Consider the following 22,752-nt stretch of genomic DNA (forward strand, 5'->3'; position numbering starts at 1 on the left):
GGTCTTCACAAACTACAACTCAGCACCTATTTCAAGTGCATTTAAATATTCAAACAACTGAAACTAAGAGAAAAAAACTTTCGAAAGGGAAAATAACTTGTCTGTCCCCTTCAATGTTCACCTTGGAGTTGCTCTCATCTCTAGAAAAAGGCCTCACGCATACTGTTTATACTTACAAACTCCACTGCCCTGTCAAGGAAAACCTTCCTGTTTTCTCAGTTATCCAAAACTTCAAACTTCCAATTTACTATTAAGACAAGTTATTGGGCATCCACTTAGAGAATCTCAAACGAAAGCCAGATAGGAGGTAGTTTTCTACAGCTAGGTTTCTCAAGTTTCATCTCAGCCAAGTTTTAAGAACGTTTTACGTAAAAATAAGGGGAAAAGCAAAATTACATTCGCATGAAGTTTCGACGCACAACGGCACTGAAACGGAAAGACTCTTCACGTTCCCAAGCGCACCCTGAGAGGCAGGTGCAGCAGCTTTCCGATGGCTTCTCTGCCGCCCATGTATCCCAGCCCCAAGACCAACACAGGCAATCTTCACATCTGACTTTATTTTTTTAACTCCTTCAGATCCACCTCTGCTCAAGTCTATCAACAGGAAAACAGGAGCGTTCCAAACACACACCGAGCAACAGGATCCCAACTTCCTGGTTCTAAAGGAATGCGATGCCCTGATGACCCGTCCCGCCCCGCACCCGCACGGCCGCCTATCCGGGCTCCGGCGGGACCGAGGAGCGAGTGGCAAGGCTGGCGCCGCACTGCGGGTGCCGGCGCCCGCCCGGCCTGGGGGCGCTCGCGGCCCGCGACCCCGGCCCCGCCCAGGCCCTGCCCGACCCCCGTCCTCGCCGGCCTTCGCCCAACCCCGGCCTCCCGACCCTGACCCCGGCCCGGTCTTCCGGGCACCCAGCTCCGTCGACTCCCGCCTCGCCTCAACGGGTCCTCCTAAGCCCCGGCCCCGGCCTTCCCCTGCCCCGGCCTCGGCCATCCTCAGCCCCAGTTTTCCCCTGCCCCGGCCCCGGTCCTCCTCAGCCCCGGCTTTTTCCTGGCCCTGACCCCGGTCCTCCTCAGCCCTGGCCCTTCCCGTGCCCTAGCCCCGGTCCTCCTCAACCCGGCCCCGGCCTTCCCCTGCCCCGGCCCCGGCCCCGGCCCAGGCCCGGCCCTGCCCGCCGCGGCCGCGTCCTCCGGGAAGATGGCGGCGCAGTGACAGGCGGCGCGGCGCGGGTCCGAGCTGGGCCGGGAGGGACGGCCCGCCGCGGCCCAGGGTGCCTCACCTGTCAGCGCCGCCGCCCCGCCCGACCGGCCGCCCGCGGGCTCCTCGCCTCAACCCCGGGGCCCGGCGGCCGCGCCACACGCGGGGACGGCGAGGAGAGAGACGGCAGGGAGAGGCGGCGCGGCCGGGCCGGGCCGGGCCGGAGGTAGGGGAGAGGGCGGGCGCGAGCTGGCGGCGGCGGCGGCGGCGGATTCTTCCCCTTTCGGGCCCGAAAATGTCTCAACCCCGGGACTCCAGATCCCCAACGCTCCTTCCCGTTCGCATGAGAACACACAGCTCCCACTTCCGGGGCCCTGCGGAAGTCCCGCCCCCGCGCGGACCCGCGCCTCGCGCCCTGAACTCGCGCACTCACCCGCCGGTCCCGCGGACTGGCGCTCAGCCCCGGGAGAGCCTCACGTCATGGTGTTGCGGCGCGCTGATTGGGCGCACCCGACGCTCGGCCCGCCCCGCCGCCTTCTTGGCCTCTCCGCGCGTACACCCTGCTCGCGGCCTTGCGATTGGCGCGTGCGCGCACATCGCCCCGCCCCGCGCACGCCGCACGTCCGCCCCGCCCGCCCCGCCCGCCCCGCCCGCCGTCCCCGGCGCGACCGGAGCGCCTGACGCTGGGGGGCCGTGTGGGCCCTGACTTCCGGAGGGCTGGGCCCTGGTCCTCCGCCACCGCGTGCGCCCCTTAAAGACCCCTGCCCGCCGCCCAGGACGGATGGCGACCCCGGCCCTAGCCTGTCCCCAGACCCTGGACCAAGGCCCCGGCCCTGCCCCGAACCCCTCATCCCACCCCCAGGACCCAGGCCCCGACCCTGGCCACCCAGGACACGCCCTGGCCCTTCCCCGAACTCCCACCCCACAGCTGGGATCAAGGTCCCGGCCCTGCCCGGAACACCTCACCCCACACCCGGGACCCAGGCCCCGGCCCTGCCCCGAACTCCCACCCCACACCCGGGACCAAGGCCCCGGCCCTGCCCCGAACCCCTCACCCCACCCCCGGGACCAAGGCCCCGGCCCTGCCCAGAACTCCCACCCCACACCCGGGACCAAGGCCCCGGCCCTGCCCAGAACTCCCACCCCACACCCGGGACCAAGGCCCCGGCCCTGCCCCGAAGGCCCCACCGGGGACCCAGGCCCCGGCCCTGCCCCAAACTCCCACCCCACACCCGGGACCAAGGCCCCGGCCCTGCCCCGAACGCCCCACCCGGGACCCAGGCCCCGGCCCTGCCCCAAACTCCCACCCCACACCCGGGACCAAGGCCCCGGCACTGCCCCGAACGCCCCACCAGGGACCCAGGCCCCAGCCCTGTCCCGAACTCCCGCCCCACACCTGAGACGAAGGTCCCGGCCCCGAAGTCCCAACCCCACACCCGGGACCAAGGCCCCGGCACTGCCCCGAACCCCCGCCCCACACCCCTAACCAAGGCCTCGGCTCAGCCCCGGAATCCCCAACCCCACACCTGGGATCAAGGCCCCGGCCCTTCCCCAAACCCCCAACCCACACCCGGGACCAAAAGGCCCCGGCCCCACGTTTCCTAGAGGCGCTGGGTTCGGGCCCACGTTGCAACGAGTCAGATGCTCTTGGTAGCTCAGGGAGGTGTTCACACTCCTGCCGTTTCCGTGAGGATGGTGACGACTCCGAACTATAGCAGCATACTCTACCTACCCCTGATCAGTTTATGGAAGAAAAGGAAACCAAACAAAGTATGTTGCGTTTCCCTTAAGCTTGCTGCCTGATTTTCTGGTTTCTGCTCTGATTGGCTACATATACACATATTATCAATTATTCCAAATTTTAGGTTTGTTCCCCCATTAAAACGGCTTTTCAGGGATACCATATTCATGGTTAACCGTGTACCTGTGCTTACAACTGCTTTTTTAATTTTGTTTTTTGATACAGGGTCTTGCTCTATGCAGGTCTGCACTCTGAGCTCAGAGTGCTGTCTCGGGCCCCCAAAATCTGGGATTAGAGATGGGAGCCGGTGTACCCAGCCTGTGCTTATAATTTTTCGTACTCAGCGTTCAAATGCTGACAATTCTGCATTTTGGAAGAAAGCCTCTCCGGCTTCCCATAGTGGGTAGACTGTTGACATCAAGGTTGGGTGCCTTCTTTGTGAAACCTTGTTGCATCCTAGCTTTAAGGGAATTTGCAAGTTAAATAATTATATTCATAGTAATGTTTTTAAAGAACATTTAACGACATAAGACACATTTCCTTTAATATTAAAAGCATGTACATATTTCAGAAAACTTGCTTACCTGGACAACCTGCCCTGACCAGTAGGCCATAGTGTCCTTGCTTAGGTGCCTGGTTCCTTTACCTCCACGGATAACCTACAGGAGCTTACTCTTGGTTCATAACATTGCTAGGGCCATTGATGTGGTATAAGTCTAGGAATTCTGCCCCAAAATTGGTAGGTTAAACTTTTTTTTTTTTTTGAGACTGACTCTCCCTCTGTCACCCCGGCTGGAGTGCCGTGGCATAATCTCGGCTCACTGCAACCTCAGTCTCCCGGGTTCAAGTGATTCTCCTGCCTCAGCCTCCGGAGTAGCTGAGACTACAGCCGCATGCCACCACGCCCAGCTAATTTTTTGTATTTTTAGTAGAGATGGGGTTTCACCGTGTTAGCCAGAATGGTCTTGATCTCCTGACCTCGTGATCCGCCTGCCTCAGCCTCCCTAAGTGCTGGGATTACAGGCGTGAGCCACCGTTCCCGGCTGGTAGGTTAAACTTCAATCTTTTTTGTCTATGTCTACATTCCAGCAGACATCTATGTCTTACCTATTACAAAAGAAAGTAATGGGATGGGTTCAGTGGCTCATGCCTGTAATCCCAGCACTTTAGGAGGCCAAGGCAGGCAGATCGCCCAAGGCCAAGAGTTCAAGACCAGTCTGGGCAATATGTCAAAGCCCCATTTCTTTAAAAAATTATACAAAAGTAGCCGGGCATGTGGTGCATGGCTGTGGTTCCAGCTACTCAGGAGGCTGAGGTGGGAGGATCGCTTGAGGTTGAGGCTGCAGTGAGCTGTGATTGTGCCACCGCATTCCAGCCTGGGTGACAGAGCGAGACCCTGTCTCAAAAAAAGAAAAAGAAAAAAACTAAAACTAAAAGAATTCCATCTCTTCTTTCTCTTCGTATTGTGTAATCCTTTCCAACAATCAGAACTGGGCTTTTTGTTCCCTCATGATCTTCTTTTTTTCAAACCTGTGTCTCAGAAGAAACATCCATTTTCACCTTGAGATGTGAGGTTATAACATGAAATACATTTTCATGGCATCTCTCCTTAGACAAGATCAGTTTTTTAAAACTTTAGTATAAATTTCTCAAACCATGATCAGATACACTCCCTCATTTCCCATGTCAAGTGGTTACAAATTCTGTCAATCCTACCTAAAAACTCTTTCCTTCTCCCCGTCCCCCCAGTGGTTTTGCCGTTGTTACTGCTCACCTGGTTTGATTCAGTGGCGTCGCGGTTGGTCTCTGCTACAGTCCATTACTCACAGTGCCAGCACATGTTTCCTTAAAAAGCTTCATCACCATCCTCCTGCAATGCGACCTTCACCGGCTCCCCGTTGCCTGCCCAGGAGGATAAAGTCCAAGTTCTCCTGTGGAAAGAAGACCCTTCACACGCTAGTCCCAGCCTGTCTTCAGCCCAGCCCCCTGTGTTTCCTTTCCTGCCTTATCCTAAGACATCCTTACCTTCCAATCACACTCACTTTCCGAGCATTTTTGAAGGTATTGAGGGAGTTGATGAGTCTACACTTGAATAAAATACAGACTTTACACTCCAGACTGCACAGTTGACAGGTAAGTCCACAGTTCATAGTGTGGACAGTCCTATACAAAGAAATGGAGAGGTGCCCCAGCTCCAGACGCTGCGCTGCTCTGGAAGTCGAGGGCGGCATTCTTTTGGAGCCTGAGCACTTAGGTCCTAATGGATGTGAGTCCCCTGGCCTCAAATGTGCTTCCTGTACTTGGATGTCTCCTTCTGGCGGAATCTCGCTTATTTTTCAAGTTACAGCCCAAATGTCAACCACTGAAGTGTTTTAGACAGTTGATTTTCCTTCTGGGCCCTATTATTAGCACTTGTTTGTAGCTCTGTTGAGCTACATCACATCATACAATTTTCAGCTGACACTACTGTCATCCCAAAGAAATGGTCAGGCCTCAAGGGCAGAGGCAGCGAGGGCAGTGATCTTGGGACAAAGTCTCTACCAAACAAATACAGCATGTGTATTTCTCTAGCAGAGGCCTACATTTCAAGTGGTGTCTGAGAACATTCTTTTCTTTTTCTTTTTTCTTTTCTTTTCTTTTTTTTTTTTTTTTTTTTGAGTCTCCCTCTGTCTCCCAGGCTGGAGTGCAGTGGCACAATCTTGGCTCACTGCAACCTGCGCCTACCGAGTTCAAGTGATTCTCCTGCCTCAGCCTCCCGAGTAGCTGGGATTACAGGGATGCACCATGATGCCCAGCTAATTTTTGTTGTTTTTTTTTTTTGTTTGTTTTTTGTTTTTAGTAGAGTCAGGGTTTCACCATGTTGGTCAGGCTGGTCTCGAACTCCTGACCTCAAGTAATCTACCTGCCTCCGCCTCCCAAAAATGCTGGGATTACAGGTGAACATTCTTTTATTTTATCCCGAAGCATTTTCTGTGAAAAAATAAACACTACTTCTCCAATGTGTAGCCGCATTGCTCAAAAATTCATTTTTGATGATTTAGGACTATTCCTTTGCCCATTGATTAAACAAATATTCACTGAGTACCTACGCGGTCTCAGGGACTGCTAATGTTGCAGAGATCAGGGGAGCATCACAGATGAGAAGCAGGTAACGAGGGATGGAGGGTGAGGATGAGGGATGGAGGGTGAGGTGAGGCTGTGTAGAGTGCTTGGGTGGCTCACAAGCGGGGTCCAAGCCAACTTAAGAAGGAACCAGAAAATGATGACTAAGCCGGGGCCAGAGACAAACCATCCACGAGAAGGACACAGGTGGGAAGAAGGAGGCAGTGAGTCACGATTTACTACGAGGCAGGCCAGACACAGTAGCTCAAACCTATAATCCCAGCATGTTGGGAGGCCGAGGCGGGTGTATCATCTAATGTCAGGAGTTCGAGACCAGCCTGGCCAACATGGTGAAACACCTGTCTCTAGCAAAAATACAAAAAAATTAGCTGGGCGTGGTGGCGGTCGCCTGTAGTCCCAGCTACTCGTGAGGCTGAGGCAGAAGAATTGCTTAAACCCAGGAGGCTGAGGTTGCAGTGAGCGAGATCGTGCCATTGCACTCCAGTCTGGGCAACAAGAGTGAAACTGTCCGCCCCCCAAAAAACAACAAAAAACCAGATTTACTATGAGGCAAGAAAGACCCTTAGAAGGTTTTGCTGTGGAGTATCTCCAGCCACAAAAGCCACTCCAATAGAAACACAATAAGGAACTGGCCTAGGCAAATTAGGTGGAAGTATTAAAATGAAGAATGGTGGTAATACATTTGAATACTGTGAGTAAAAAAGAACGCATGAGCTTTTACAGATACTAAGAAATATACGTGAGTGGGTAAGTAAAAAATAGTAGCATTGAGGAAGGAAAAAAGAAAGCTCTTCTTTACAGTAAAATGCTGATTAATATATGAAGAAGAGATTTTTTTATTTTTATTTTTGGAGACAGGGTCTTGCTCTGTCGCCCAGGCTGGAGTGCAGTGGCGCAATCCCAGCTCACTGCAGTCTCGACCTCCTGGGCTCTAGTGATCCTCCCGCCTCAGCTTCCCAAGTAGCTAGGACTACAGGCATGCGCCACCATGCCCAGCTAATTTTTGCATTTTTTGTAGAGACGAGGTTTCATCATGTTGCTCAGGCTGGTCTCGAACTCCTGGGCTGAAGCAATCCGCTTACTTCGACCTCCCAAAATGCTGGGATTACAGATGTGAGCCACCACACCTGGCCAGAATTATTTTAAAAATCACTATCTTGTAACCACCAGAATTCTGGCAGGAATCACAAATGAATGCTAAAATCATTGGGTGAAACTCTGTTGAGGATATAGATTATGTACACCACCTCAAAGCTTATTAATTGCTTGTTGCTTATTAATTTCAAAGGGAAAGGAGTATTTTTACAGTGAACAAATATGTTAGACCCCATCTGAATCAAGTAATCAATGTTAGCATCACTAATAATGGCGGCCTGACCCCCCCTCCCCCACACCACTATGTGTCTGCCTCAGTTATATGGTATTCCGGCTAAAATTCACAAACTTATCACGAGGAACAATCAGACAAACTCGAAGGACATTCTGCAAATGACCCATAATCTTTAAAAATGTCAAGGTCATAAAAGACAATGAACACTTCAGGAAGTTTTCCAAATTATAGGAGACTAAGGAGAGAAGTCAAGCATGACATGGGCAAACCTAGATTAGCTCCGAGGTCAGAGGAAACATTCGCTGTGATTAACATTACTGGATTTTATTTTATTTTATTTATTTTTATTTATTTATTTATTTTGAGACGGAGTCTTGCTCTGTCTCCCAGGCTGGAGTGCAGTGGCGTGATCTCGGCTCACTACAACCTCCACCTCCCGGGTTCAAGCGATTCTCGTGCCTCAGCCTCCTGAGTAGCTGGGACTACAGGCACGCACCACCACACCTGGCTAACTTTTTGTATTTTTAGTAGACAGGGTTTCTTCATGTTGTCCAGGCTGGTCTCGAACTCCTGGACTCAAGTGATCTGCCTGCCTCAGCCTCCCAAAGTGCTGGGATTACAGGTGTGAGCCACTACGGCCAGTTTGGGATTTGAATATGGACTGTGTGTCAGTCTTCTAACCAAGGCTAAATTTCTTGAATTGGTTCTTTTTCTTTTTTTTTTTTTTTGGAGACGGAGTCTCGCTCTGTCACCCAGGCTGGAGTGCAGTGGTGTGATTTGGGCTCACTACAAGCTCCGCCTCCCGGGTTCACGCCATTCTCCTGCCTCAGCCTCCCGAGTAGCTGGGACTACAGGTGCCCAACACCACGCCCGGCTAATTTTTGTTGTATTTTTTAGTAAAGACAGGGTTTCACCGTGTTAGCCAGGATAGGCTTGATCTCCTGCTCTTGTGATCCGCCCGCCTCGGCCTCCCAAAGTGCTGGGATTACAGGCGTGAGCCACCGCGCCCGGCCGAATTGGTTCATTGTTTTATGGCTGTGTAAGAGAATGTCTTTTATCTTAGGAGATAGCAATGAATTATTTAGGGGTGAGGGGTTAAGATATCTGCAAGTTTCTCTCAAAAAGTTTAGTGAAATATACACACACATATGAATGTGTGTGTCTGTATGTATATGTCTATATATACATCTCTCTCTCTCAGAGAACATGACAAAACCTTAATTGGTAAATCCGAGGGTAGGATATATAAGTGGCTGCAATTTGTCTGTAAACTTGTAATTCTTCAAAATAGAGAGTTATCTTGTAGAGACACATTCTGCAGTTATTTATGAATGCCATGGTATTATGTTTAGGATTTTCTTCTCAATAATCTAAAGAGGAAGCAGTTGGTAGAGACAGGTGAGAAATAATGGACAAGTGGCGTGGTGAAAATTGTTGAAGCTGGGTGTGATGGGTACAGGCAGGGTTCCTGACACTCTTCTCCCTGCTTTCGCATGTTTTAAATTCCCTATGGCAATAAAAACATAGTAATGAGATGAAGGATTTTAATTCGTCATAGACATTCCATGACAGCGTATGGCTCAAAAAGCAGTCAGAGAGGACTCCACCCTTCCTGGCTGTAGGAAAGAGCTCTGGGTCTCCCAGCCTGGGAAGCCAGGGAGGCTGCAGTGGAGTTGAATGAAGGAGTCCCGCTCAGGCGAGGAGGGTGCAGGCTTGGCGGGAGGGGATGGCACAGGAGGGAGCAGCCAGGGATGAAGGAACCGCAAGGGTGAGGCCTGTTAGGAGGTTTAGGGTCTGCAGGAACATGTAATTTTGGAAAGACCCTCTCTAGGGGGAGATGAGAAACTCTGCTGTGATGTATTTTATAACTCTCTAGGGCTACAGCCTTTGCAGAAGCCCACATTAAAGGCCTAGGCTGCCCTGAAACGGCTTCCTGAAGTTGGATGTGTGTTTCCTTTGAAACTAACACCACTCTGGCCTAAGATGTCTGGGACTGCAGCTTGTATTCATGTGATTTCTTGCAGAAATCTGCTGGGGTGTTTAACCTACACAGCACCCGTCTACACATAGGCATAAAATTATCTTCTAGGCCTGAGAAAAGGCTGCACTTGCACCTTGATGACTTGCCTGGCCTTAGCACTCATAAAGAAGAGGAATGAGTTGATGAGACATGAGATTTGGGAAAGACTCCCCAGTTGAGGATTGGATGTTTCAGGAAGAGGCTGAGAACCAGACTTCATAAGCACCTGGAGAACTGGCAAAGTGGACATTGTTTTTAATCCAACATATATGGAGACTTGACTTTTTATTTTTATTTATTTTGAGACAGAGTCTTGCTCTGTCGCCCAGGCTAAAGTGCGCAGTGGTGTGATCTCAGCTCACTGCAACCTCCACCTCCCAGGTTCAAGCGGTTCTCGTGCCTCAGCCTCCTGAGTAGCTGGGATTACTGGCATGTGCCACCACGCCCGGCTAATTTTTTTTTTTTTTTTTTTTTTGAGACGGAGTTTCACTCTTGTTGCCCAGGCTGGAGTGCAATGGTGCGATCTCGGCTCACCGCAACATCCACCTCCCGGGTTCAAGCGATTCTCCTGCCTCAGCCTCCCGAGTAGCTGGGATTACAGGCATGCACCACCACGCCCGGCTAATTTTGTATTTTTAGTAGGGACGGGGTTTCTCCATATTGGTCAGGCTGGTCTCAAACTCTTGACCTCAGGTAATCCGCCTGCCTTGGCCTCCCAAAGTGCTGGGATTACAGGCATGAGCCACCATGCGCGGGCTTAATTTTTATATTTTTAGCAGAGATGAGGTTTCACCATGTTGGCCAGGCTGGTCTCAAACTCCTGACCTCAAGTGATCCTCCCACCTTGGCCTCCCAAAGTGCTGGGATTGCAGGCATGAGCCATCACGCCCAGCTAATTTTTGTATTTTTAGTAGAAACAGCGTTTTGCCATGTTAGCCAGGCTCGTCTTGGGCCAGGAACGTGGCGGGGGGAGGGGGGCGCCTGCCCAGAGGAGGCCCCAGTGCCTGAAGTGGGCATGAAGAGCCCAGCAGCATTAGAGGAACAAGGACTGACATGTTTCCCACAGTGGAAAGAAAGTTTTTGAAACAGAAAAATAGCACGGGCATTTGTGGGGTACATAAGAAAGAGACAAAATGGAACCATTTGGACCAGAAGGCATGACGGGAGAAGTGCGGGAGCGCAGGAGAGGTGTGAGCTAGTCTCATCCTGGGGTGGCCGGTCAATGCCAGACTGTGTCCAGGAGGCCACTGCGAGACTTTGAAAAGATGTTTCACATAGAAATTACTGTATGCAGGTGAGAAGCAGAGGTTGACCTAAACACTGCAGAGAATGTTGGATGGAAAGTTGGGACTTAAAATCTTGATTTGGCAAAATCACAGACTCAGCTGGAGAGGTGAGTGTTGGCCAGGACATGGGACCCACTTCCTCTAAGACGGACAGGAGCTCAGAGCCCCGGACTTCAGTTTTGTGGACGAGGAGGTCAGGTTGTTTGCTGAAGATGAGGGTGGACCGATAGGGTGGAGAAACAATGGGGTCTGTAAAAATGCTTGAGGCAGGTGCTTGGAGGAGGACGGACATTTGCCAGTGTCCACTTCATTGCCCACTCCCACCTGTGGGTGCTGGGGACTCAGCCTGCTCTTCCTCCTCTTCAGAGTTGTCACCTATTGTGTTCATGGAAGTCCTTCTCCAACCCCCATTTAAGACCAGCTAATCAGGGAGAGTCCCAATTCCCCATGAGCTTACTTTGTTTTGTTTGTTTGTTTGTTTGTTTTGAGACGGAGTTTCACTCTTGTCGCCCAGGCTGGAGTGCAGTGGCATGATCTCGGCTCACTGCAACCTCTGCTCCTGGGTTCAAGCGATTCTCCTTCCTCAGCCTCCTGAGTAGCTGGGATTACAGGCGCCTGCCACCATGCCTGGCTAATTTTTGTATTTTTGGTAGAGATGGGCGGGGGGTGTCTCACCATGTTGGCCAGTCTAGTCTTGAACTCCTAACCTCAGGTGATCCGCCCGCCTTGGCCTCCCAAGTGCTGGGATTACAGGCGCGAGCCACTGCACCCGGCCTGATCTTGCTTTTTAAGCGATTGCAATTCCACCTGGTGCTATGGTGATCTGGGGTTCCATGGCCTGTTTACCAGAAGAGCAATGCTTTTGTTGTGCTATATTGTTATTTCAGTTATTTTTTTATTTTTTATTTTTTGTCTTTTTTTGTTTGTTTGTTTTGTTTTGTTTTGTTTGAGACAGGGCCTCAGCCTGTCACCTAGACTGGAGTGCAGTGGTGTGATCATAGCTCCCTGCAGCCTCTAACTCCTGGGCTCAAGCGATCCTCCCACCTCAGCCTCCTAAGTACCTGGGATTATAGGCTCAAACTAGCATGTATGGCTCAGTACATTTTTTTAAAAATCTGCATTATGTATATCTTGAACTATACCTAGAGAAGTATACATTGGTTGAAATTTTGAGGTGAACAAATGTGCCACTGTTCAGAAACATTCTAATCACATTCTCCACTGTTCGAAATTCCCCAAGGTATCTATTTTTGCCTTAATTTATATTCCCTATGTTAAGAAGGTCATTTGAGCACATTTTCATGTTTGTTAGCTATTTCTATTTTTCCCTTGCCTGTTTAGATCTAGATTTATTACAAGAAGTCCATGATGGAGACAGCTCAGGAATGGAAGAGGTGAGAAATAATTCTGTCAAAGAATATGGGGGTGTTGTAGGGAACCGGAAGATGAGGGCAGAGAAGGGATTGAAGCTGCCTGATTGCGTGACCTTCCCAGGATCCCGATCCCTCACTGGTTCCAACACCAGATTCCATGTTCCTCCTCTCCCCTAAGTTTTTTCTCCGGAGTCAGATGCATTTCCCTAAAATAATTTATTTTAACCAGGATCTTCTTTTACGAATGTCCTATTTGCACAGACTCAAGCCCAAAGATCAGAAGAACCTCTGTCCTGGAAGTCGGTTCTCTTTCCAATGGAACAGCCTCTGCAAAGTGTACCACACGATGAGTTAATATATCTCACTTTTAGAAAGAAAGATACTGATATGCCACTGATGTGGTTTGGATGTGCGTCCCTCCACCCCCACCCACAGTCCCATGCTAGAAGTGTCACTCATATTCAGCTTTGAATCAGTGGGGAACCCATACAGGAAGATCATAATAAATATGGAAAATTCTGATAATTTTGTGATTCCATGAGATAAGAAAAGAACTTCCCTCTCCTGGAAATCTCACTCTGAGGGGAGCCAGCTGACATATCTTAGGCCTCCCTGCACCCCTGGGAGAGGCCCACATGGAGAGGAGCCCACAGCCAAGGAGGCCTTTTGGAACTGGGCCCTCCAGCCTCACTCCAGCTTTCAGATGATCACAGTCCAAGCTGACTTCTTTTTTTTTTTTTTTTTTTGAGACAGAGTCTCACTCTGTCACCCAGGCTGGAGTGCAGTGGCATGGTCTCGGCTCACTGCAGCTTCTGCCTCCTGGGTTCAAGAGATTCTCCTGCCTTGGCCTCCCAAGTAGCTGGGATTACAGGCACACACCACCACCCCTGGCTGATTTTTGTAATTTTAGCAGAGACAGGGTTTCGTCATGTTGCCCAGGTTGGTCTTGAACTCCTGACCTCAGGTGATCTGCCTACCTCGGCCTTCCAAAGTGCTGGGATTACAGGCATGAGCCACCGCACCTGGCCTCACAAGTCCTTTCTGAAACCACAGATGGGCACTTTGCCTGCTGTGTGTTATTCTGGGACTTCAGCAGCCTCCCTCCTCCTGTCACCTCCATCCATCTGTGGGATGCACATGGAGCCTCTTCACAGGACAGCAAGCATTTGAACATAGCAGGAGGATGACCTGGGGCCAGGGTTTTTTGTTGTGTTTCATTTTGTCTTTTCGAGACAGGGCCTCACTCTGTCACCCAGGCGGGAGTGCAGTGGTGCGATCATGGCTCACGGCAGCCTCAACCTCCTGGGCCCAGATGATCCTCCCACCTCATCCTTTTGAGTAGCTGGGACCACAGGCATGTGCCACCACATAGGGCCAGTTTTCAGCCTCCATTCTGAGTGGTTATGATTTCTGTTGAATTCTTTTTCCAAGAGGTGATTGGGTGAGCTAAGACTGACATTATAAAGTATTTTTAAAACAAGGTTGTGAAGGAAGCAGTGAGCGGCGAGGGTGATGGAGTGGAGGGAAGGTGCAGGGGGGCCCAGGTCAGGAGGGCCCGGGTCGGGAGGGCCCGGGGAGTGCAGCGGCATTTCCGGGGTAATTGTGTCTACTTCGCAGCTTTCTTGGTGGTGTCCACGTAAGCTCCACAACATCAGAGCCGCTGCTTTATCCCCAGCACCTGATACAGGCACCATTGAAGCTCACTGCAGCCTCAGCGGGATGGGTGCCTTACAGCCCTACAGGGCTGCAGAAAATACGGAAGAACATGAATAGCATGATTCAAAAAGAAAAAGCGGTCTTACTGGTGCATAACAAAGGGAATTAGGAAGAAATGAACCAAAGACACCTTGAATTTTGAGGTCAGACTTGTCTGTTTCTTTAGAATTCGTGGTAAAGTACTGAACATTGGCTGCATAAATTATTTACATACTTGTCACGGTGTAGCCGAGGACTAAAACTTCAACATTCACCTGCTACCAACCTCCGAACAGTGGCTGTGTTTGTATCAAGTTACCTGAATGGTAGGTGGGGAAGTCCAAATATTCCTAGTAAGACAATTGCATTCAAGGCCTGGCTGGTGAAACCTGTTTCCTGGGAAGGTAGTTAGTTGGTTTTCACCACAGGGAGAACCTGGACATCATTCAACATCATCAGCCTGGGATATGGCTCCCAGAAGAGGTTGGAGGGGGGATCTTGGAGCTGGCAGATTTGGGTTTGCATGTCAACCCCCAGCTCGCCCCTGCCCTGTCACCCCCAAGTCTCTGCTTCCCCATCTGCATGGGGACTGACCTCGCGTTGCAATGCTGCTGTAGGTATGAAGAAACAGCATAGCCTATGTGCCTGCCACTCAGCCAGCGCTGGGGAAACAGCACTCCTTTCCTGCCAGCGCCAGTGCCAGGGCAAACTCCAGCTGTGGGCATCTGCTGTCAGCCCCACGCGTGTCTGGGCGTTGCCCCCGCCCTGCCTTGGTGTCTGCCCGTGACTCACTTTTCCTGCTGCCTTCAGCTTTGAGTTCCTGTTTCCCATCTTGAAGTCCTGGCCCTAAGTTCTAGTTTCTGTTTCTGGTGTTCTTTGATTTCTAATTAAATCCAGTCCCTAAATGGTTGGCTCAAGTCGGCGTCTAAAGGCGATTCTCTGACACTGTGAATCTCAGGAGTGCATTACAGTCCAAGTCGTACTTAGAATTAGTGGCCAGTAAATTGCTGATAGTCTTTAACAAATGTTAGCAATTTGGAATTCAAGAAGTGCTTGTTGATACTTGTGTTTATGGATTTTAAAATGTTTCCAATTTTTTACGTATTACAAAAAATATAAGCATAGATTGTAACCACGTTTATAATTCATATTTTATAAATGTATTTTTAAAAATAAAGACATTTTTAAGGCTGGGCATGGTGGCTCACCCCTGTAATCTCAGCACTTTGGGAGGTCAAGGCAGGTGGATCACTTGAGGTCAGGAGTTCGAGACCAGCCTGGCCAACATGGTGAAACCTCGTCTCTACTAAAAATACAAAAATTAGCTGGGCATTATGATAGGCACCTGTAATCCCAGCTATTCAGGAGGCTGAGGCATGAGAATCACTTGAACCCAGAAGGCAGAGGTTGCAGTGAACGGAGATCACACCACTGCCCTCCAGCCTGGGTGACAGAGTGAGACTCTGTCTCAAAAAAAAAAAAAAAGACATGGTCCAGGCATGGTGGCTCACACCTGTAATCCCAGCACTTTGGGAGGCCAAGGCGGGTGGATCACAAGGTCAGGAGATCGAGACCATCCTGGCTAATATGGTGAAACCCCGTCTCTACTAAAAATACAAAAAAAATTAGCCGGGCATGGTGGCGGGCGCCTGTAGTCCCAGCTACTCGGGAGGCTGGGGCAGGAGAATGGGGTGAACCCGGGAGGCGGAGCTTGCAGTGAGCCAGGATCACGCCACTGCACTCCAGCCTGGGCAACAGAGCGAGACTCCGTCTCAGAAAAAAAAAAAAAAGACATTTTAGCATTACTATGTGTTAGGAACTGAATGTATGTGTCCCTCCACAAATTCATGTTGATGCCTTAACCCCCACCATGGCTCTCTTTCAAATAAGGAAGTATTTATAGTTAGTTAAGTTCGTAAGGGTGGGGCCCTGATCCAATGAGGTTGTGTCCTTATAAGAAGAGACAGCAGAGCCCTCTGTCATGGGAAGACACTGCGAGAAGCTGCCATCTGCCTGCCAGGGAGAGGCCCTCAGCAGGAACAGCCTTGATGGCCCCCTGGTCTCAGACTCCAGAGCTGCAAGAATGTAAGCCCAGCCTGTGGTGTTTTGTTACGGCCAGCGGAGTAGACTTGTACCCCATGCAGCGGTGTGTCTATGAGCCTTCTTTACATCTTGAATTGAAGTCAACTTACAGCCAGGAAAAACTCAATTACAACAGGATAAATCCCGGAAAAAAGGTCTCTCTATGGATATCATTTGCTGCCACTTCTTCACATTTATCGTTTTTTGGTTGATACCACATCACAGAATACTGAAAATCCACTAGCAAACATAAAAATGACCTTTTAAACATTTTGCATTCTGTCTGAAAATTTCTGGGGAGGCCTTTACACCCCTTTCCTTCTGTGGGAAACTTTCTAGGAGCTGAAGTTTCTATGCCAATTACATCAGCTGCCTCTAAAGCGAAAATACAAAGATTCTTAAATTGTCTGATTAGGGATAATTGTGATTTTTAAAGTGACATTTATCCAAAAGGATGTAGAAAGGTAAGCAAGTTACTTTCCTGATTCACTTTTAGGTTGGTTAGAGTGGCAGTTTCTGTTTCTCCAGTTATGAAAGAATCTCATAGGGTTAGGGAATAGGCCTTTCCTTTAAACTTTGTCTTGTAATTCAGTGTGGTAACATGACCGGGGTTGGGGGACCCCTCTCTCTCTCTAAATTTTGGCAAGTTATTTAACCTCCTTGGGGCTTGTTCCTTCCATTTGTTGAATGAAATACTGAACTAGAAACTATTCTGTGACTGAACAGAGCAGTTATATCAATTTTTTTTATCTTACAAGTTCACCTCCCTCCTCTTCCTTGCCACCCTCCCTCTTTGTGGAAAACATTCAGTGATGAGAACTTAAGTCAAAGGTGCCTGGCCATGAGAACTTCCATACTTTTGACTCTGAAACACCATTTTTTTTTCCTTTTGAGACAGAGTCTTGCTCTGTTGCTCAGGCTGGAATTCAGTGGCGCAATTTTGGCTCGTTGCAACCTCCACCTCCTGGGTTCAAGCGATTTCTCATGCCTTAACCTCCCGAGTAGCTGGGATTACAGGTGCATGCCACCACATCAGGCTAATTTTTATATTTTTAGTAGAGACAAGTTTTCACCATGTTGATCATGCTGGTCTTGAGCTACTGACCTCAGTTGATCCACCCACCTCAGTCTCCCAAAGTGCTGGGATTACAGGCGTGAGCCACTATGCCCAGCCGGAAGCACTTTTATCTGCCAGTCTCCAGAAGTAAACCTATTTCAGACTGACAAGGAAGCAAGGCAGCGTTTCATCATCTGCGTGTCTTGCCGGTTCTTGCCAACAAACAAACAGAGTTCTGTTCTGCTTCTTTCAGGCATGGAAGATATAAGGCACAGTTCCATTCAGCAAGACAAACGGCAAATATGCTGTGGCTCTCGGGGGCAGGATGGCCATTGAGTGACCCACATATTCTGAGGCCATCACAACCCCGTCCCAGGCAGTCAGAACACACCACGCAGTCCCAGAAAGGACGAAAGAAGTGACAGCCTGCTACGACAGAACAAAATGTTCTGTGGCCCTGGAAGGAGGAGGCTGAGGAGTCTCCGATTTTCTTGATTGACTGAGGAATACTGGTTTCTTCTTTAAATGTAAAAACTCCCAAATCATGACCTTAATGAAATGAGTTTTTTGTTTTGTTTTGTTTTTTGAGACAGAGTTTCACTTTTGTTGCCCAGGCTGGAGTGCAAGGGCGCAATCTCGGCTCACCGCAACCTCCGCCTCCCAGGTTCAAGCAATTCTCCTGCCTCAGCCTCCCAAGTAGCTGGGATTACAGGGATGCGCCACCACGCCCGGCTCATGTTTTTGTATTTTAGTAGAGACAGGGTTTCTCCATGTTGGTCAGGCTGGTCTCGAACTTCTGACCTCAGGTGATCTGCCCACCTCGGCCTCCAAAAGTGCTGGGATTACAGGCATGAGCCACTGCACCCGGCCAATGAAATGTTTTTTAAATTAACAAATCAAACAAAAGTGGCTGAAAACTTACCACGCTGAAACTGCTGGCAGTGTGATAGTGGACCTGAGACCTGAGGAGGGCAGCACGGGAGACCCCCAAGAGTGAGGTCCTCCTGCCTGGAGCTGCGCCGACTGCCCACCGCCCACCACCCACCACCGAGATTCCTGCGCTGCTCCCTGCTGATGGGGCCCAAGGCATGCATTCATTCAGCTCACACACGGTCAAAGACCAAGCTCCAAATACAAAGCCACGCTGCCTGGTTTTTAAAATTAAACTGTTAATTTTGAGATAATTGTAGCTTCATATGCATTTGTAAGGAATAATACAGAGAGGTCTTGTGTATTGTATCTGGAGTACAGTGACCTGATCTCGGCTCCCTGCAACCTCCGCCTCAAAGGTTCAAGCGATTCTCCTGCCTTAGCCTCCCAAGTAGCTGGGATTACAGGTGCCCACCACCACAACTGACTAATTTTTGGCATTTTTAGTAGAGACAGGGTTTCTCCATGTTGGTCAGGCAGGTCTCGAACTCCTGACCTTAGGTGATCCACCCACCTGGGCCTCCCAAGTGCCGGGATTACAGGCGTGAGCCCCCGCGCCCGGCCTCAGTGGTCGCGTCTTGCACAACTGGGGGACAATATCAGGATCCTGACTTGTGGCCCAGGCACAGACGTCCACCCCCACAGGACCTTCTGCTCCCTTTAAAGCCACAGAACTTCCCTCCCATCCCTGCCTCCTTCTCAGCCCTGGTAAGGCCTCCATTGCTGTACTTGGATCATTTCAAGAATGTTCTATAAATGGAATCTCATGGTGTACCACCTTTTGGTCTGGACTCCCTTCACCAGGGCCACTCTGAAGGTTTGTTCAGGCCGTGGTGTGTGTGCCCATAGCTCGTTCCTTTTCACTGCAGAGTATACTCCATAGTGTGGGTTATGTCGTCTGCTTAACCACACACCGGTTCAAGGCCATCTCGGTAGCTTCCAGTTTTTGACCATGATGAATAAAGCTACTACGAACAGCTGTGTACCAGTTGTCATGTGAACGTCAGTCTTCGTTTTCTCCGGGATGAACACCCTGGCCCGAAGTTGCCAGGTCCGACAGTGGTTGCATGTTTAGTTTGTTAAGAAACTGCCAACCCGTTTTCCAGGTGGCTGTACCATCTTACATCCCACCAGCCCCGAGTGAGTGAATGATCTCCAACCCATTTCCCAGGCGGCTCTACCATCTAACATCCCACCAGCCCCACGTGAGTGAGTGATCTCCAACCCGTTTTCCAGGCAGCTGTACCATCTTACATCCCACCAGCCCCGCGTGAGTGAGTGATCTCCAACCCGTTTTCCAGGCAGCTGTACCATCTTACATCCCACCAGCCCCGCGTGAGTGAGTGATCTCCAACCCGTTTTCCAGGCGGCTGTACCATCTTACATCCCACCAGCCCCGTGTGAGTGAGTGATCTCCAAGTTGTTTTCCAGGTGGCTGTACCATCTTACATCCCACCAGTCCCACATGAGTGATCTCCAACCTGTTTTCCAGGCAGCTGTACCATCTTACATCCCACGAGCCCCAGGTGAGTGACCTCCAACCCGTTTTCCAGGCAGCTGTACCATCTTACATCCCACCAGCCCCGGGTGAGTGATCTGCTCTCCCCGTCCTCACCCACGTGCCGCTGCATCACTCTGTTATTTTCAGCCATGTGGATAGATGTGCAGGGCTGTCTTGTTGTTGTTTTAATTTGCATTTCCCTAAGGGCCCACTATGTTCGGTGTCATTCTCTCGGACATCTCTTCTTGTGCTTATTTGCCATTCGTATCCTCTTTGGTGAAATGTTTTTTCCTGTCTTTTGCTGATTTTTCTAACTGGACTGCACTTTTTTTTTCTTTTTTTGACACAGGGTTTCACTGTATTGTCGAGGCTGCAGTGCAGTGGTGCGATAACAGCTCTCTGCAGCCTCAGCCTTCCAGGTAGCTGGGACTACAGGTGCGTGCCACCACGCCCAGCTAATGTTTGTTTTTTCTGTATAGTTGAGGTTTTGCCATGTTGCCCACGCTGGTCTTGACCTCCTGGGCTCAAGCAATCCACCCTCCTTGGCCTTCCACAGTGCTTGGATTACAGGCGTGAGCCACTGTGCCTGGCCTTAGCTTTTTTTTTTAACCGTTGAGTTTTGAGAGTTCTTTGTATATTTGAGGCACTAATCTGTGTTGGATATGTAGTCTGAATATATTCAGAATATTTTCTCTCAGTTTGTAGCTTGTCTTTTCATCTTCTTAACATAGCCTTTTGCGGAGCAAAAGTTTTTATTTTTTGTGAAGTCCAATTTTTCTATTTTTCCTTTTATATATTGTGATGCTGGTAAGCAATCTTATATATTATCATGCTGGTAAGAAATCATTTCTTAGTCTTCAATCCCAAAGATTTTCTCTGTTTATTTTCTAAAAGGTTGATAGTTTTGCATTTTACATTTAAGTCTGTGATCCATTTTGAAATCAGGTAGATTGAGTCCATCACTTTATTCCTTTTCAAAATTGCTTTAGCTACTCTCATTCCTTTGTCTGTACATAGAGATTTTAGAAAAATCTTCTCTATGTCTGCATGACATTTGCTGGCATTTCAATAGGAATTGCATTAAATCTATATATCATTTTGGGAAAAATGATATTTTTGCTATAATGAGTCTTCCAATCGATGAACACCCTGCGTCTCTCTCTTTATTTAGGCTTTCTTTGATTTCTTTCACTGGCATTTTGTAGTTTTCAGCATATAGATCCTGTACATGTCTTAGATTTATACCTAAGTATTTTTTTGAGTGACTGTAAATAATATTGTATTATTCATTTTGGTATCTTTGTATTCATTACTAGTATATGGAAATATTATTGAATTTTGTATGTTTGTCATGTATCCTGTGATCCTGATGAACTCACTTGTTAGTTGTAGGAGGGTTTTTTTTTTTGAGATTCCTTGGGATTTTCTCTGTGGACAATCATGTCATCTGCAAATAGGGGACAGCTTCTTTCCGTCCTTCCCGCCTGCCTGTCTGCCTTCCTTCTCTCTCAGTCTCTCTCTCCCTTCCTTCTCTCTCTCTCTCAGTCTCTCTCTCTTTCTTCTTTTCCCTTTATTTTCTGTTTTTGCCTTATTGCAATAGCTAGGACTGCTAGCACCATGTTGAATACAGTGGTGATAACAGGCATCCTTGCCTTGTTCCTGATCTTAGGCTGGGAGCTTCAGTCTTTTCCATTAAGTATCCTGTTAGCTGCAGGTGTTTTATAGATGTTCTTTATTAAGTTGAGGAAGCTTCCCTTTATTTCTATTTTTTAACAGTTTTTTAGGCCGGGTGCCGTGGCTCATGCCTGTAATCCCAGCACTTTGGGAGGCTGAGGCAGGTGGATCACCTGAGGTCAGGAGTTCGAGACCAGCCTGGCCAATATGGTGAAACCCCGTCTCTACTAAAATACAAAACTTAGCTGGGCATGGTGGTGGGTGCCTGTAATCCCAACTCGAGAGGCTGAGGCAACTAGAACCGCTTGAACCCATGAGGTAGAGGTTGCAATGAGCCGAGATCGCGCCACTGCACTCCAGCCTGGGTGACAGAGCCAGACTCTGTCTAAAAAAAAAAAGTCCACTCTGCAGAGATGGCTGAATTAAAAACAATGTCCACTTTGCCAGGAACTTCAAACAGGAGACCAAGTGGTGACTTCAGGGACATCCAGGGTGATGTTGCATCCCAGGACGAGAAGAGGCTGCCACTAGGAGCCACAGATAGAGCTCCAGGGAGTTTAACATACAACCTTTAAGAGGAAGAAATTGCACCAGCCCAGAATCAACTGCATAACAGACAACCTTTAAAACGAAGAAATCACACCAGCCCAGAACCAACTGCATAACATACAACCTTTAAAAGGAAGAAATCGCAGCAGCCCAGAACCAACTGCATAACATACAACCTTTAAAAGGAAGAAATCGCAGCAGCCCAGAACCAACTGCATAACATACAACCTTTAAAAGGAAGAAATCGCAGCAGCCCAGAACCAACTGCATAACATACAACCTTTAAAAGGAAGAAATCGCACCAGCCCAGAATCAACTGCATAACATACAAACTTTAAAAGGAAGAAATCGGCCTGGTGCAGTGGCTCACGCCTATAATCCCAGCACTTTGGGAGGCCAAAGTGGGTGGATCACAAGGTCAGGAGATCAAGACCATCCTGGCTAACACGGTGAAACCCCATCTGTACTAAAAATAAAAAAAAAATTAGCCGGGCTTGGTGGCGGGCACCTGTAGTCCCAGCTACTTGGGAGGCTGAGGCAGGAAAATGGCATGAACCTGGGAGGTGGAGCTTGCAGTGAGCTGAGATCAAGATGCTGCACTCCAGCCTGGGTGACAGAGCGAGACTCCATCTCAAAAAAAAAAAAAAAAAAAAAAAAGGAAGAAATCGCAGCAGTCCAGAACCAACTGCATAACAGACAACCTTTAAAAGGAAGAAATCGCACCAGCCCAGACCCAACTGCATAACAGACAACCTTTAAAAGGAAGAAATCGCACCAGCCCACAACCAACTGCATAACAGACAACCTTTAAAAGGAAGAAATCGCACCAGCCCAGAACCAACTGCATAAAAGACAACCTTTAAAAGGAAGAAATCGCACCAGCCCAGAACCAACTGCATAACAGACAACCTTTAAAAGGAAGAAATCGCACCAGCCCAGAACCAACTGCATAACAGACAACCTTTAAAAGGAAGAAATCGCACCAGCCCAGAACCAACTGCATAACAGACAACCTTTAAAAGGAAGAAATCGCACCAGCCCACAACCAACTGCATAACAGACAACCTTTAAAAGGAAGAAATCGCACCAGCCCAGAACCAACTGCATAACAGACAACCTTTAAAAGGAAGAAATCGCACCAGCCCAGAACCAACTGCATAACAGACAACCTTTAAAAGGAAGAAATCGCACCAGCC

General features: G+C 49.3%; 2 protein-coding genes and 1 long non-coding RNA gene across 9 annotated transcripts in view, besides 6 other annotated features; 2 read left to right on the forward strand and 1 right to left on the reverse strand.

Annotated features, from left to right (window-relative positions):
- LARP4B (La ribonucleoprotein 4B) overlaps positions 1–22,752 on the reverse strand; it is a 181,428-nt gene that overhangs the window by 123,237 nt on the left and 35,439 nt on the right. For 4 of the 7 annotated variants that reach the window (NM_001351277.2, NM_015155.3, XM_047424901.1 and 1 more), the window contains exon 1: positions 1,278–1,555. The gene's annotated coding sequence lies outside the window, so the exon portion shown is untranslated. Of the gene's footprint in view, positions 1–1,277; positions 1,556–4,710; positions 4,868–22,752 lie in introns of those variants that run through there. The other 3 variants (XM_047424897.1, XM_047424894.1, XM_047424893.1) reach the window with 1 other exon arrangement.
- Positions 746–875: a silencer, noted in NCBI's record as "silent region_2059". NCBI's record gives its function as "represses an Ori minimal core promoter by ATAC-STARR-seq in GM12878 lymphoblastoid cells {active_cell/tissue: GM12878}" and the evidence as "EXISTENCE:reporter gene assay evidence [ECO:0000049][PMID:35858748]".
- Positions 966–1,045: a silencer, noted in NCBI's record as "silent region_2060". NCBI's record gives its function as "represses an Ori minimal core promoter by ATAC-STARR-seq in GM12878 lymphoblastoid cells {active_cell/tissue: GM12878}" and the evidence as "EXISTENCE:reporter gene assay evidence [ECO:0000049][PMID:35858748]".
- Positions 1,076–1,185: a silencer, noted in NCBI's record as "silent region_2061". NCBI's record gives its function as "represses an Ori minimal core promoter by ATAC-STARR-seq in GM12878 lymphoblastoid cells {active_cell/tissue: GM12878}" and the evidence as "EXISTENCE:reporter gene assay evidence [ECO:0000049][PMID:35858748]".
- Positions 1,256–1,965: a silencer, noted in NCBI's record as "silent region_2062". NCBI's record gives its function as "represses an Ori minimal core promoter by ATAC-STARR-seq in GM12878 lymphoblastoid cells {active_cell/tissue: GM12878}" and the evidence as "EXISTENCE:reporter gene assay evidence [ECO:0000049][PMID:35858748]".
- Positions 1,841–5,939, forward strand: LOC124902363 (keratinocyte proline-rich protein-like). Its single transcript, XM_047426111.1, has 2 exons — positions 1,841–2,965; positions 4,686–5,939. The coding sequence occupies exon 1, from the start codon at positions 1,977–1,979 to the stop codon at positions 2,679–2,681; it is 705 nt and encodes a 234-aa protein (XP_047282067.1). The 5' UTR covers positions 1,841–1,976; the 3' UTR covers positions 2,682–2,965; positions 4,686–5,939.
- Positions 2,046–2,135: a silencer, noted in NCBI's record as "silent region_2063". NCBI's record gives its function as "represses an Ori minimal core promoter by ATAC-STARR-seq in GM12878 lymphoblastoid cells {active_cell/tissue: GM12878}" and the evidence as "EXISTENCE:reporter gene assay evidence [ECO:0000049][PMID:35858748]".
- LARP4B-DT (LARP4B divergent transcript) lies at positions 2,876–12,593 on the forward strand. Its single transcript, NR_120629.1, has 3 exons — positions 2,876–2,965; positions 12,037–12,089; positions 12,330–12,593. It is a non-coding gene; the product is annotated as an LARP4B divergent transcript (long non-coding RNA).
- Positions 13,077–13,578: an enhancer, noted in NCBI's record as "H3K4me1 hESC enhancer chr10:989167-989668 (GRCh37/hg19 assembly coordinates)". NCBI's record gives its function as "activates a minimal SCP1, AML or CMV promoter by ChIP-STARR-seq in naive H9 embryonic stem cells {active_cell/tissue: H9 hESC(naive)}" and the evidence as "EXISTENCE:reporter gene assay evidence [ECO:0000049][PMID:30033119]".

The sequence above is a fragment of the Homo sapiens genome, chromosome 10, assembly GCF_000001405.40.
Source record: "Homo sapiens chromosome 10, GRCh38.p14 Primary Assembly".
Lineage (NCBI taxonomy): Eukaryota > Metazoa > Chordata > Mammalia > Primates > Hominidae > Homo > Homo sapiens.

Excerpts from the sequence above, each read along its gene's own strand:
- LOC124902363 (XM_047426111.1), top strand. The coding sequence starts at position 1,977 with ATGGCGACCCCGGCCCTAGCCTGTCCCCAGACCCTGGACCAAGGCCCC.